Genomic DNA, 12,446 nt, shown 5'->3' with positions numbered 1-12,446 from the left:
AAAAGCATGGACTTTGGGTTAAGGCCCTGTTCTGTCACTTTTTAGCCACTTGTGAATTTGGTCACGTTATTTAATCCTAGAAACTATGGTTTCAAATGATTTGGGAAGCAAGGCTGAGAAGTTACTGTGAAGAAAATATATCTAGCACAGGGTCTTACACATAAATAGTTGTTTCACTTTTCACAAGTTTCTGGAATGGTGTAGGGCAAGAATAAGTCAAGGACTGGGTCAGTATGAGATGGAAGGTTTTATTAGACTAGGAGATTTGTGGGAGGTATGAGCGCTGGGCCAAGGTGGCACGGGCCATGCTCAAGGCACCCTCTCGGGTGTGGTGACCGCCAGTGAAGCCGCTTGCATGGACGAAGATGCAGCCAGGGATCCCACTGACCTGGTCCAGGGCCTCGTCCCGAAGACCCCGCCATGGCTCTGGCAGGGGCAGCCTGGGCAGAAAGAGGGAGTACAGCAGGGGTCAGAGTTGGCAGCCTTCTCTTAACAAGGCTGAGACAAGCCTGAAGGTCTGCAGAGTGGTTCCCTAGGGCCTCACCGGCTTTGGAATGAGTGGGGCTCCTTGGGCACACACTGTATTCGCCACTGTCCAGCCTGGTCAGTGTAGATAACAAAGAAGATGGCCACTGGAGGGGACAGCCCAGATTCCAGGTGGTAGAGATGCTCCTTCCAGGGACATGCACCTTTCGCCAGTTCCACAATCTCTCCACTTGGGTCCACCTGAAAGAGGGAGAGCATAGCTAGAAGGTTTAAGGTAGGCTGGGCATGGTGATCATGTTTGTAGTCACAACATTTTGGGAGGCTGAGGTGGGAGGATCAGTTGAGCCCAGGAATTTGAGACTAGCCTAGGCAACAAAGTAAGACCCTGTCTCTACAAAAAATACAAAAATTAGCTGGGTGAGGTGGTGTGTGCCTGTAGTCCCAGCTACTCAGGAGGCTGAGGTGGGAGGACTGCTTGAGCCTAAGAGGTTGAGGTTGTCTGCCACTGCACTCCAGGGTTTAGGGTAGAAGAAGCAGGAGTTCCTGTTGATTGGCAGTCAGTAATCCTCAAGCCATAATGCCTCCTCCAAGGCCTATACCTGGAATCGCTGGGCAAGGGCCTCTTCCACCAAGGCCCGGGCTGGCAGCCAGCTGTGTTGGTAGAAATCTAATCTCTGCAGAAACTCCTCTTGAACCAGATCCATTGCACGCTTGAACCCTGCCTGGGAATGATGAGAATTAGAACCATGATGCTGGCCCAAACTTGGAATTTGCTAGGGCTTAGGAGGAGCAAATGCTCCCATTTTCCCCCCACCCAAGGTTCTTACAGGTCTCCGGGTCTCCTCCCAGGCCACCTTACCTCAGTGTCTTGGTCGGGGTGGTTCCAGGTAGGATTAAGTCGAGCAACTCGTGCACTCAGGGTAGTGGTCAGTGCATATCGAGGCTCCCCCTCTGCCCACTGGGAGATCCCATTGTCCACAGCATCCACCTCCTCCACAAAGTTCTCATACATCTAAGGCAGCAGCAGGGGAAACCTTCTTGAGGCTACCTGCTACTTATGTGAAATCTTACATGATTCAAAGTATGTTCATACACACTCTTTCAGCCCTGTGAGGATCTCTCAACATTAACTGGATGAGAAAAGGGAGAATTGGCAAGTTCAGCAGCTCGCTGAAGCTCAGACAGCTCGTTGTGCTGTGACTGGAATTCAGATCACCTGATTTCTAATCCATGCTCATTCTGCTGCACAAAGCCCAAACCAAAGCCAACACGTGTAGGGAGGGGACTGCTAACTTTTGAACAAGGAAGGTCTCTAGGTGCTAGAGGCTCTCTGTGGGAGTGGGTCCCTGTGGCTGAAGGCTGGTAAATCTCCAGGTGGGGTGAGTAGGTATTCAGTGACACGGTTAATGAGGTGCAGGAGCGGCTCTGGTTGAGAACACAAGTCAAGTGGGAGAAAATGAGTGTGAGACTAGACACCAAAAGCTGGTTGCTGGGTTAGGGTTCCAGGGAAGCCCATAATGTGCCTCATGACATCAGCAGTTGTCTCCTGGGTCTGAATAAATGGTAGGATAATGCCTCAAGAGTCTCGGGGCAGAAACTTTATGCAAAATTACCCTACAAAATAGGCCTCCATAACAGTACACCTGTGGTATGTAGAAAAGTGCTACTCTCAGAGCACTGAGAAAGTAACTCCTATGCCCAGCTCTTCTTGGTTTGGATCCCAACCTGATGCTCAGTTAAAACATGGGTTTAGGCCGGGCGCGGTGGCTCACGCCTGTAATCCCAGCACTTTGGGAGGCCGAGGCGGGCGGATCACGAGGTCAGGAGATCGAGACCATCCCGGCTAAAACGGTGAAACCCCGTCTCTACTAAAAATACAAAAAATTAGCCGGGCGTAGTGGCGGGCGCCTGTAGTCCCAGCTACTTGGGAGGCTGAGGCAGGACAATGGCGTGAACCTGGGAGGCGCAGCTTGCAGTGAGCCGAGATCCCGCCACTGCACTCCAGCCTGGGCGACAGAGCGAGACTCCGTCTCAAAAAAAAAAAAAAAAAAAAAAAAACATGGGTTTAGGCTGAGGTGGGAGGATCACTTGAGCCCAGGAGTTTTTGAGTCCAGCCTGGGCAGCATAGCAAGACCCTCTCTACAAAAAAATTAAGATATATAATTAGCCAGGCATGGTGGCATGCACCTGTAGTCTCAGCTACTTGGGGGGCTGAGGTGGGAAGACTGCTTGAGCCCAGGAGTTCAAAGCAGCAGCAAGCCATGATGGCACCACTGGACTCCAACCTGGGCAACAGTCTCTCAAAAAAAAATACGGGTTAAATTTAGTCAATTGTTGCTGGGATTAGTGGCTCACGCCTGTAATCCCAGCACTTTGGGAGGCCAAGGTGGGTGCGTTACTTGAGGTCAGGAGTTTGAGACCAGCCTGGCTAACACGGTGAAACCCCGTTTCTACTAAAAATAAAAAATTAGCCAGGCGTGGTGGCAGGCGCCTGTAATCTCACCTACTTGGGAGGCTGAGGCAGGAGAATCGCTTGAACCCAGGAGGCGGAGGTAGCAGTGAGCTGAGATTGTGCCACTGCACTCCAGCCTGGATGACAGAGCAAGACCCCGTCTCAAAAAAACAAAAAAAAACAACAACAAAAATTTAGTCAGTTGTTTAGAAACCCTTCAGCAGTGGAAGGGAAAACTGACCCAGGCAGTCTAAAATCTTGATATTCCAAAAACTCTATAGTTACAGAGGGCAGAAAATGGGCAAGCTAAAACTGAGAACTGATGGGCCGGGTGCAGTGGCTCAGACCTGTAATCCCAGCACTTTGGGAGGCTGAGGTGGGCAGATCACGAGGTCAGGAGATCAAGACCATCCTGGCTAACACGGTGAAACCCCACCTCTACTAAAAATACAAAAAATTAGCCGGGCATGGTGATGGGCGCCTGTAGTCCCAGCTACTCGGGAGGCTGAGGCAGGAGAATGGCGTGAACCCGGGAGGCGGAGCTTGCAGTGAGCCAAGATTGCGCCACTGCACTCCAGCCTGGGCGACAGAGCAAGACTCCATCTCAAAACAAAAAACAACAAAAAAACTGAGAACTGAATTCAACAGCCTACCTGCAAGAAATACAGCTGACTGAACCTGGGCTTTGACTTGTAAACAAGTAAGTGTCCTCAGTACTGTGCGACCTGACTTGCATGCCAGGGCCACTAGCCATATTCTTTCCCTAAGAGCAGGAAGCTGCTTGCAGGGGACACTGGTGGAATCCAAAGACAGTTTCATAATAAAACTCTTCTCAGCTGAGCTTCCCAATTTATGTGCCACTAGTGAACTACAGTGGTGCCTAACATACACTCCCCTCAACCTTCAGGGCAGCCAGAACCTCTGAGCCATCTGCTTCCACACATAAGCAGCCTCCCCTCTGTTTACCCAAAGGTGCTGAGCAATTGCTGTTTGTGTGTGTCAATAAAAAGACGGGGCCATGCTGCTTTATGGTTTTCAAAGCCCTTCCCCATATATTACAGCATCCACTTCTCACAACCACCCCAGGATGTAGACAGGGGAGGTATCACCATTCCCTTGTGAGATGAGCCTGACTGAGGGAGAGGATGAGTGTTGGGCCTGCTATAGGCCAGGAACCCTGACCCGAGGCCCAGTGCTGAGTGCTGTGTGAGCACTGCTCCCAGGCGGCCTGCTGGAAATGCATGTGGGGGGCATCTCTGTCCTCAGGTCCCCACCTTGTCATAGAGGGTGCCCACCATGCTGTCCTCTTCACTAGTGCCCAGCAACTGGGCCAGCAGCTTGTGCCCGAAGTGCAGATAGATGAGTCCCGCACTGCTCAGCTTGGTCTGCCACGGCTTCCCAGGGGACAGGGAGCTCATGGTCTCTGTGAAAGACCTGAGGAGCATAGGGAGGTGGGGCTGAGGTGAGGGACCTTGGCTAGAGTCTCCATGCATTCATTCAATGGTTAACTCAATGCTTCCTATCTGCCACATTTTATGTTTTATTAGACATTAAGGATAAAAAACCAAGACACTGTCCTTGCTTTCAGATTCATCTGCCGGAGGCCGACAAACACAACCCCCTGAGTACTCTCACTAGACGAGACAAGGGAAAGGAAGGAAGGGATGAGGAAAGGGTTCAGAGGAGAGCCTTCAGGTCAGTTCTGAAAGATGAATTAGTGGGTGTCCACCAGATAGACAAGGGGTGAAAGAGAAAAAGCATTCCAAGCAGAGAGAACAACATGAATGATGGCTGAGAGACAAGTGTCTTGATGGAACTTCAGCAAAGGCAGCTCAGGTGTGAGAAGTGAATGGCAAAAGAAAAAGCTGGAAGGGCAGGCAGGGCCAGACCATCGGACTTTATCTGTGGGTAATCGAAGTCATTGGGGGATTTTAAGCAGGCAGGTGCATGTTACAGCATTGCACCAGCCAGCATGGAGAACAGATGCAAGGAGATTACCTGCAATGGTTCAGGTGAATAAAGAAGGCAAGAATTTGAACAGCAGTGGGGCAGAAAATAGAGAAAAGATATAACAGATGTTAGGGAAGCAGAAACTACAGCCATGATTTCTAAATACCAGTCCATCTCAGAATTACCTAGGGAGCTCCATTTGTTAACTGACTTTTATTATTAAATATTGAGTAAATACAGGCTGGGCTCAGTGGCTCACACCTCTAATCCCAACACTTTGGGAGGCCAAGGCGTGATCACTTGAGGTCAGTAGTTTGAGACCAGCCTGGCCAACATGCTGAAACTCTGTTTCTACTAAGAATGGAAAAATTAGCCGGACATGGTGGCACACGCCTGTAGTCCCAGCTTCTTGGGAAGCTGAGGCAGGAGAATTACTTGAATCTGGGAGGTGGAGGTTGAAGTGAGCTGAGTGCCACTGCACTCCAGCCTGGGCAACAATAGCGAAACTCCATCTCAAAAAAAGTAAAAATAAAAAAAATGAGGCTGGGCATGGTGGCTCACACCTGCAATCCTAGCACTTTGGGAGACTGAGGCGGGTGGATCACCTGAGGTTAGGAGTTCAAGACCAGACTGGCCAACATAGTGAAACACTGTCTCTCCTAAAAATACAAAAATTAGCTGGGCGCCTGTAGTCTCAGCTACTTGGGAGGCTGAGGCAGGAGAATCACTTGAACCCAGCAGACGGAGGTTGCAGTGAGTCGAGATCACATCACTGCACTCCAGCCTGGGTGACAGACGAGACTCCATCTTAAAAACAATTTGATAAAAGGAAGTGGTCAATAATGCCAAGTGCTAAAGAGATCAGTTGAGACCCTTTACCAGCTCCCTGGTTTGGTGCTGAGGTAACTGGTGCCCTTCTGCCGAGCAGTTCCAGAGAAGACACTGGGAGAGTGGGCTTGAGGGGAATGAACTGGAAAGGAACAGGTGAAGCCACGGTCAGCTGTTTTTTGAAGGGTGGCTGAGAAGCAAGGGTGAGAGCTTAGGCTGTAAATATTGGGAGGGTTTCTTCCTGACATCATTTATAATATGTATGCTAAAAAAAGAAAAAAGGAGAGAGACTTAAAACATCATAATCCCTCTCTCCAAGATAATTACTTCTCGTGGTGTGGTATAATTGAGGGAGGGTTTTGTTTTTACACCTGTGTTTCTTTTCAAGATGGAAGATACTTGAGAAGGGTTTTAGGCTGTAGGGAAGGAGAGGCAGAGACACTAGTGGAACTGTGACATGAAATCCCAGAGGATAGGCCAACAGTGGCTCACACCTGTAATCCCAGCACTTTGGGAGGCCAAGGCGGGGCAGATCACAAGGCCAGGAGTTCGAGACCACTCTGGCCAATATGGTGAAACCCGTCTCTACTAAAAATACAAAAATTAGCCGGGTGTGGTGGTGGGTGCCTGTAGTCCCAGCTACTCGGGAGGCTGAGACAGGAGAATCGCTTGAACCTGGGAGACAGAGGTTGCAGTGAGCCGAGATCGTGCCACTACACTCCAGCTTGGGCGACAGTGGGAGACTCCGTCTCAAAAAAAAAAAAAAAGAAAAGAAAAAAGAATCCCAGAGAAGAAAGTAATAGACTGGAAACAGGACAGAGGATTAACCTCCAATAGAAGGGAAGAAATTTCCCTTAGTTGGTAGGAGGGAGCTGAGGATGTTTGAGGTGGGAGACTGAGGAAATGCTCAACTTCTTTTGAAAAGAGGCAGGGACACTCAGTTTGATGCGGTAGAGGCTTGAGGGAGAAGAAAAGGATTGGAATGGGCTACCCTTGAGCAAGAAGGATTTCCCTTTGGAAGGGTGTAAATGAAGTAGAAAACTTCACACATCTGAACTGTCACCAACTGCCACAATCATGTGGGCCCAGCAGTTAGGTGCAGCAGCAAGGGCACCAGAATGGATTAATCACAGATGGGTTTATTTAGTTGGGGTGATGAAGTTGCTGATGGAAAAAAAGCCTTGGCTAAGGAAGGAGATGAGATAAGGGGCCTGAGGGACTCCCTGGGAACCAAAGGAGGTCCCAGGCCAGGGAGATGGGTGAAGAACAGGCAGGGCCGGAAGGATGATGTAGTCCTAGTGGGAGTTTGATTTCAGTGATGAAGCAGTTCTTTTCGCTGACGCGGACTACGGCAGTGGATGGCTGAATTGGAGCACAGAGGAAAGCTGAGGTCAAGGAAGTTAAATAAATGGTATCTGAGAACCTACCTCTGGTGATGGTCATATCGGTGTCTCCGAGGGTCGTACTCGCCCCCCACGTCCACCACGATGTCACAGGAAGCGAGTTTTTCGGGATCCCGGGTCCGCACAATCTCTGCATCCTGCGAGGTACACAGGGGTGAAGGGGCTGCCGGGTGTCGCCGGGTAGGGGATTAATGCTGGACTTCAGGGAGGCAGGAAGGGTAGGAAGGGTGCTTGGGCTGCCGGGCGCTATCGGAGTGACCCTGTTGGCGGAATGCCATCCACCCCGGAGGCATGCATGCACGCAGTCCCAGGGTCACTTTTCGCGGACCGTACCCGGTACTCCGGCAGGAGGCGAAGCAGTGCGCATGCCAGTGCCTCGTCGCAGTGGAAGGTGCCATTGTGCGTCCCGATTCGGGGCGGTGCCATGAGTTTGCTGCGGGATCGTTTTGGGGGCGGGACGGACTCTGGACCGAGCATGCGGTGCCGGGTATACAGGGGTGGCGGCGGCAGCAGCAGCGTTAAGAGGCCGCGCAGGAATTGGTGTCCCATAAGCAGCTCCCTGCAGGGAGGCAGGAGCGCCGACCCGGAAGAGGAAGCGCCAGCGCAGCCCCACTTCCGCTTGCCAACCGTTCCCTTGGCAACCAGCTCTGCAGAGTGAGCAGCAGCAGACTCCCAGCCTAGGATTTCTTCCAGCTGGTCAAAGGGCCCTGCGATGGAGCCTCCAAGAGGCGCATCGCATCACCCCTGCGCATCAGGCTCTGAGACGGGGCCCACACTCTCGACCACACCCCCCATCTCATCACCAGTCCCTTGCTTAATCCAAGAAAAGACCAACATTCTGCCCAGCTGGCACATTTATTGGCATTAAAACACAAGACCCTTCCCATCACCAGGAAGCCACGCCCAAAGGGTGTCCCTCTGCCCCATTTCTGCAAAAACTCTCAGGCCTTAGCAGTAGCCTGAGCTGCCCCCAGGGCTGTGAGCTGCTGAATCTTCTGACTCATCATTTCCATGACGGCTGTGGAAAAAAATAAGAGTCAAAGGTTAGAAGCAAAAAGGAGAACCTAGAGTTAAGGAGAAGTGACAGGCAAGTTTAAGGACAGGCGACCGACTAACTACAGTTTGTTAATAACCTTTTTTTTTTTTTTTTGAGACAGAATCCTGCTCTTGTCACCGAGGCTGGAGTGCAGTGGCACGATCTTGGCTCACAGCAACCTCCGTCTCCCGGGTTCAAGCGATTCTCCTGCCTCATCCTCCCGAACAGCTGGGATTACAGGCATGCACCACCATGCCCGGGCTAACTTTGTATTTTTAGTAGAGATGGGGTTTCACCATGGTGGCCAGGCTGGTCTTGAACTCCTAACCTCAGGTGATCCACCTGCCTTGGCCTCCCAAAGTGCTGGGATTACAGGCGTCAGCCACTGCGCCTGGCATTGTTAATAAAACTTTAACTCAGTGATCCACTGTGGGGTCACTAACACAAATTTAGGGTCTACAATGCATCGGTCAATATGCTAACACAGCTGGGTGTGGTGAGAATGAGACTCTTCTCGGAAAAAAAAAAAACCTGCTAACCAAAGATATAAAAACGAACACAATATGGTATTAAATGAGTCTGACATAATCAGAAAACTATGATGGGGAAAGATTTTTACCTTTGGAACACTGGTTCTGAATCCTGATTATAACAGAGGGGAGCTTTTTTAAAAAAAAACAGACCTTGGTACAACTTCCCCTCCTTTGACTTCCAAGTTGATTTAGTCAATCTGGAATGGGCCCAAGCTTTCTTTTTAAACTTCCTGAGTGATTCTCATGTGCAGTCGGGGTTATAATTGCTGGTATTTAGTTCGTTTGGATCATGATTCCTTCCTGTGTGTTCATCTCATTCCCCCATTCCATCGTCATTAAATAGGAGCTCCACCAAAGCACAAACATGATTTCCTTCCTCTAAATTTCTCAAACGCTCAACCCAGGAATCTACAGATAGTGATTATGCAATACACAGATTCTAAAGATGCCAAAGAGAAACTAAGACATAGTTTTACTCCAGCAAAGGGGACACCCCCGTGGTTCACACTGCAATCCATGTTCCTTATTATGGAGATAGGGTCAAGAGGTGCCCCAGGAAAAACTTACCCTGTTTCATGGCGTGCTTCTCCTGAAGAGCTGGTTGGATTTTCTCCATCTGCTTGGTTAGAAAATCTATCTTCCTCTTGAAGAAGTCCTTGGCATCCTCAGCTGTCTACAAGATCAGAGGTGAATAAGGGGCTAAAAGGAGACTCCCTCTGGCCATGCTGCGCTCTAGAGCTTCCCCTGAATTTCCCTTCCCTGTTTAGAGGGGCATCCACATGCTCTCACTCACCTTCTCTACATAGTACCCAGTTCCCACATCGATGAGCACGTGTTCCACATCATGCAGCTTCCCAGGGACATACATCTGAGAAGCAAGAATTAAGGGAAAAACTAGCCAGCCCAGCATGAGCCATGATTCCGCCAGCCAGCCTGCTTGGCCTCCAAAGACCCTCTTTTTCCAAAAAGCTACAAGGCATAAGGACTGAATAATCTGGAGGCCTTAGAACAATACCTATAACTCCAAATGGAAAGAAGACAGAGAAGTTGGTTCTTTAAGGAGAAAATGATGTATGCTGGAACACCCTCTTGTCCTGCCTCATCCCATCTCTCACTCTCTAAGCAGTTCTTGCAATTCTTCCCATTAGCCCCTCCAGAAAGACTAGACATGTTTTCCTACTGTTGTAGAGTACTACAAGTAAAAAGCCAGCCTCATTTCCCTTAATGCCCTCAATCATGAAGTAGCTAATTCCTGACAAAGTCAATGTTTTGTTTGTTTTTTGCTTTCTGAGACAGAGTCTCGCTCTATCGCCCAGGTTGGAGTGCAATTGCCCGCTATCGGCTCACTGCAACCTCTGCCTCTCGGGTTAAAGCAATTCTCCTGTCTCAGTCGCCGGAGTAGCTGGGATTACAAGCATGTGCCACCACGCCTGGCTAATTTTTGTATATTTAGTAAAGACAGGGTTTCACCATGTTGGCCAGACCGATCTCTAACTCCTGACCTCAGGTGATCTGCCAGCCTTGGCCTCCCAAAGTGCTGGGATTACAGGCGTGAACCACTGTGCCTGGCTAATTTTTTTTTTTAAACCATTCCCTACTACACACTACTATTCCTGTGTTCCTTTTAGCCTGTCAGTTCTGAGACTACAGATTAAAGATGCCCTACTGCCATAACTTGCTCATTCAAATAAAACACTGAACAAGTGAACACAATCCAGGTTTCTTAGTGACAGTTTAGAAATGAGCCACAATTAAGCTGAAGTTGAAGATTAACAGAGCCAAGCTCCCTGTTTCTATATCCTCCTATTTTTGTCTATTGCCTGTATCTTCTAAGATATTAGCAAAGTGTAAACCACCAGCTTTATCTCCATATTAATGTTCTCAAACAGCAAAGGGAAATATTACATCTCAACTATACATACTCCTTGGTGTTCACAAGACATTAGCTGGATGTTGGTGTGAAGTCAGATAAAAGAGCTACAAAGTGTGTAATAAGAGTATTCTTGGCCGGGGGCAGTGGCTCACGCCTGTAATGTAATCCTAGCACTTTGGGAGGCCGAGGCAGGCGGATCACGAGGTCAGGAGTTCGAGACTAGCCTGGCCAATATGGTGAAACCCCCAACTCTACTATTAATACAAAAATTAGCCGGTCGTGGTGGCGCGTACCTAAAGTCCCAGCTACTCGGGAGACTGAGGCAGAAGAATCTCTTGAACTCGGGAGGCGGAGGTTGCAGTAAGCCAAGATCTCACCATTGCGCTCCAGCCTGGGCGACAGAGCGAAATTCCGTCTCAAAAAAGAAAGAAAAAAAAAAAGGGTATCCTCAAAATCATTGTGAGGAGAGGGTAATCTGAAGTAATCAAAACAATCCCCCTCCCCGCTTTTTGGGGGAGTGAAGGAGAAAGGGAGAAGGCAGCAGGTAGCCGTTCCTGTGGAAAGGATACAGAACTCGTCAGTGGGACGAGTAATTCTTTCCCTGTGAAAGCAATGAAGACAAACACCTGGGGAAGGTTAGCGGCTCCAACGTAAGACGTTAAAGAGAGTTCCAACAGGGCACAGCACCCACAGACAGTGTGAAAAGAACGGAAACAGGGGCAATAGGAGCAGAGGAATGTCCTGTACTTTTCAATTCTAGGCAGGCAACATGCAAAGGGTTCATGAAGCGGTATACGATATGTAATGGATTTTCTCGTTTCAGGTAAGAAAAACTGGGTTAGGAGGTGGGACGAGAGAAGCAGGTTCGCCACTTTAGGTTACCCTCACCCGCCTACCCCATACCCTCGTTGCTCTTGTTCAGCACGTTCAGACAGTCCTTGGCTTCCACATACTTGGTCTGTACCACTTTGAGCTGAGCAATGGACGTGGACAAGAACTCCACTTCCTACAGAGGACCGGGATAGCGGGTCAATGAGAGGACTAAGGGGAGAAAGGAGCGCGGCCGGGGAGGGGGCAGGTCCTGGGATCGGATAGAGGTTTCGCCTGGGAAAGGTAGGCTGCCAACTTGGAACCGGGCGCGAGAAGTACGCGTGGGCAAGGGGGATGTAGAGCAGGAAAGAGGTGCCTCTGGGGCCCGTCCCCACCTGGTCCAGCTGGTTCTTGAGCATTTCTAGCTGCGGCAGATTCAGCTCCGTGATGTTAATAGACTGCGCCATGTTGGGAAGGCCGACTTAACGAAGAGGAAGTCTCTCGGCGAGCAACGCTCTAGCCGTCCTCTGCGCGTCTCGGTGGCGCCGGGAGGCCTCGCTGCGCCAGACAGCTCTATGATCCTCCGTCCCGGAAGGGAAGGAGGGGCTTGAGCCTCTCAGAGACTGTTGTGTGAGTTCATTTCATAAAATGTCTTAAGCCTAGTATTGTAAAGTAGCAGCAAACAGGACTCCTGCCTACAAGGAACTGCAAAATCTTAAAGTTCTCACGACACAACCACGATATTACAAAGTAGTGTATGCTACTCCACGTGGGTGGTATAAGCTACTGGAAAGCAGGCTGGATTGCCATGGCGACGGCTCGGGGGCCTGGCCCTGCTCCTCTCCACCCCGCTTGCTATTGCTGCCTGCTGGTACCCCGCCAGGCCCGATTTCAAATGTTCCTCCCAGCACGGCATGGAAATGGCAGGGAAATTCTAAACTCTTTTTCCCAGATGGCCTCTGAGGCCGAAAGGCAGGAAAAAAAAAAAAATCCCTTGTCAGACCGTTCTGAATTGTCCTTGGAAAAAAACAGGCATTAGATTGAAAGCTTGTCGAAGGCAGGAACCAACCATGTT

General features: G+C 49.8%; 2 protein-coding genes across 3 annotated transcripts, besides 10 other annotated features; both read right to left on the bottom strand.

The window, feature by feature from the left end:
* MYG1 (MYG1 exonuclease) lies at nt 229-7,711 on the bottom strand. The gene is made up of 7 exons (NM_021640.4): nt 7,453-7,711; nt 7,144-7,256; nt 4,213-4,372; nt 1,346-1,498; nt 1,086-1,208; nt 545-726; nt 229-440 (listed from the first exon to the last, which is right to left on the bottom strand). Exons 1-7 carry the CDS (start codon nt 7,666-7,668, stop codon nt 257-259), a joined length of 1,131 nt encoding a protein of 376 aa, NP_067653.4. The 5' UTR covers nt 7,669-7,711; the 3' UTR covers nt 229-256.
* Nucleotides 7,487-7,666: an enhancer, noted in NCBI's record as "active region_6413". NCBI's record gives its function as "activates an Ori minimal core promoter by ATAC-STARR-seq in GM12878 lymphoblastoid cells {active_cell/tissue: GM12878}" and the evidence as "EXISTENCE:reporter gene assay evidence [ECO:0000049][PMID:35858748]".
* Nucleotides 7,487-8,739: a biological region, named in NCBI's record as "P300/CBP strongly-dependent group 1 enhancer GRCh37_chr12:53692451-53693650".
* Nucleotides 7,540-8,739: an enhancer, noted in NCBI's record as "P300/CBP strongly-dependent group 1 enhancer chr12:53692451-53693650 (GRCh37/hg19 assembly coordinates)". NCBI's record gives its function as "activates an origin of replication core promoter dependent on BRD2, BRD4, P300/CBP, MED14 and CDK7 cofactors, with strong dependence on P300/CBP, by STARR-seq in HCT116 cells {active_cell/tissue: HCT116}" and the evidence as "EXISTENCE:reporter gene assay evidence [ECO:0000049][PMID:35650434]".
* Nucleotides 7,607-7,901: an enhancer, noted in NCBI's record as "tiled region #12; HepG2 Activating DNase unmatched - State 1:Tss, and K562 Activating non-DNase unmatched - State 14:Gen5'". NCBI's record gives its function as "activates a minimal TATA promoter and a strong SV40 promoter by Sharpr-MPRA in HepG2 and K562 cells {active_cell/tissue: HepG2 | K562}" and the evidence as "EXISTENCE:reporter gene assay evidence [ECO:0000049][PMID:27701403]".
* Nucleotides 7,737-7,796: an enhancer, noted in NCBI's record as "active region_6412". NCBI's record gives its function as "activates an Ori minimal core promoter by ATAC-STARR-seq in GM12878 lymphoblastoid cells {active_cell/tissue: GM12878}" and the evidence as "EXISTENCE:reporter gene assay evidence [ECO:0000049][PMID:35858748]".
* Nucleotides 7,807-7,906: an enhancer, noted in NCBI's record as "active region_6411". NCBI's record gives its function as "activates an Ori minimal core promoter by ATAC-STARR-seq in GM12878 lymphoblastoid cells {active_cell/tissue: GM12878}" and the evidence as "EXISTENCE:reporter gene assay evidence [ECO:0000049][PMID:35858748]".
* Nucleotides 7,947-8,036: an enhancer, noted in NCBI's record as "active region_6410". NCBI's record gives its function as "activates an Ori minimal core promoter by ATAC-STARR-seq in GM12878 lymphoblastoid cells {active_cell/tissue: GM12878}" and the evidence as "EXISTENCE:reporter gene assay evidence [ECO:0000049][PMID:35858748]".
* PFDN5 (prefoldin subunit 5) lies at nt 7,956-11,864 on the bottom strand. Of its 2 annotated transcripts, NM_002624.4 has the most exons (6): nt 11,767-11,864; nt 11,465-11,567; nt 11,131-11,162; nt 9,482-9,556; nt 9,256-9,361; nt 7,956-8,137 (listed from the first exon to the last, which is right to left on the bottom strand). In NM_002624.4, the coding sequence occupies exons 1-6, from the start codon at nt 11,836-11,838 to the stop codon at nt 8,061-8,063; spliced, it is 465 nt and encodes a 154-aa protein (NP_002615.2). In that variant the 5' UTR covers nt 11,839-11,864; the 3' UTR covers nt 7,956-8,060. The 2 variants fall into 2 exon arrangements, with proteins under 2 accessions (NP_002615.2, NP_665904.1); NM_145897.3 differs by lacking the exons at nt 11,131-11,162; nt 11,465-11,567.
* Nucleotides 10,957-12,156: an enhancer, noted in NCBI's record as "MED14-independent group 3 enhancer chr12:53689034-53690233 (GRCh37/hg19 assembly coordinates)". NCBI's record gives its function as "activates an origin of replication core promoter dependent on BRD2, BRD4, P300/CBP and CDK7 cofactors, and independent of MED14, by STARR-seq in HCT116 cells {active_cell/tissue: HCT116}" and the evidence as "EXISTENCE:reporter gene assay evidence [ECO:0000049][PMID:35650434]".
* Nucleotides 10,957-12,181: a biological region, named in NCBI's record as "MED14-independent group 3 enhancer GRCh37_chr12:53689034-53690233".
* Nucleotides 11,642-12,181: an enhancer, noted in NCBI's record as "active region_6409". NCBI's record gives its function as "activates an Ori minimal core promoter by ATAC-STARR-seq in GM12878 lymphoblastoid cells {active_cell/tissue: GM12878}" and the evidence as "EXISTENCE:reporter gene assay evidence [ECO:0000049][PMID:35858748]".

The sequence above is a fragment of the Homo sapiens genome, chromosome 12 (genome assembly GCF_000001405.40).
Source record: "Homo sapiens chromosome 12, GRCh38.p14 Primary Assembly".
Taxonomy (NCBI): domain Eukaryota; kingdom Metazoa; phylum Chordata; class Mammalia; order Primates; family Hominidae; genus Homo; species Homo sapiens.
The sequence above is the reverse complement of the archived record's forward strand: the minus strand, read 5'-3'. Positions and strand labels throughout refer to the sequence as shown.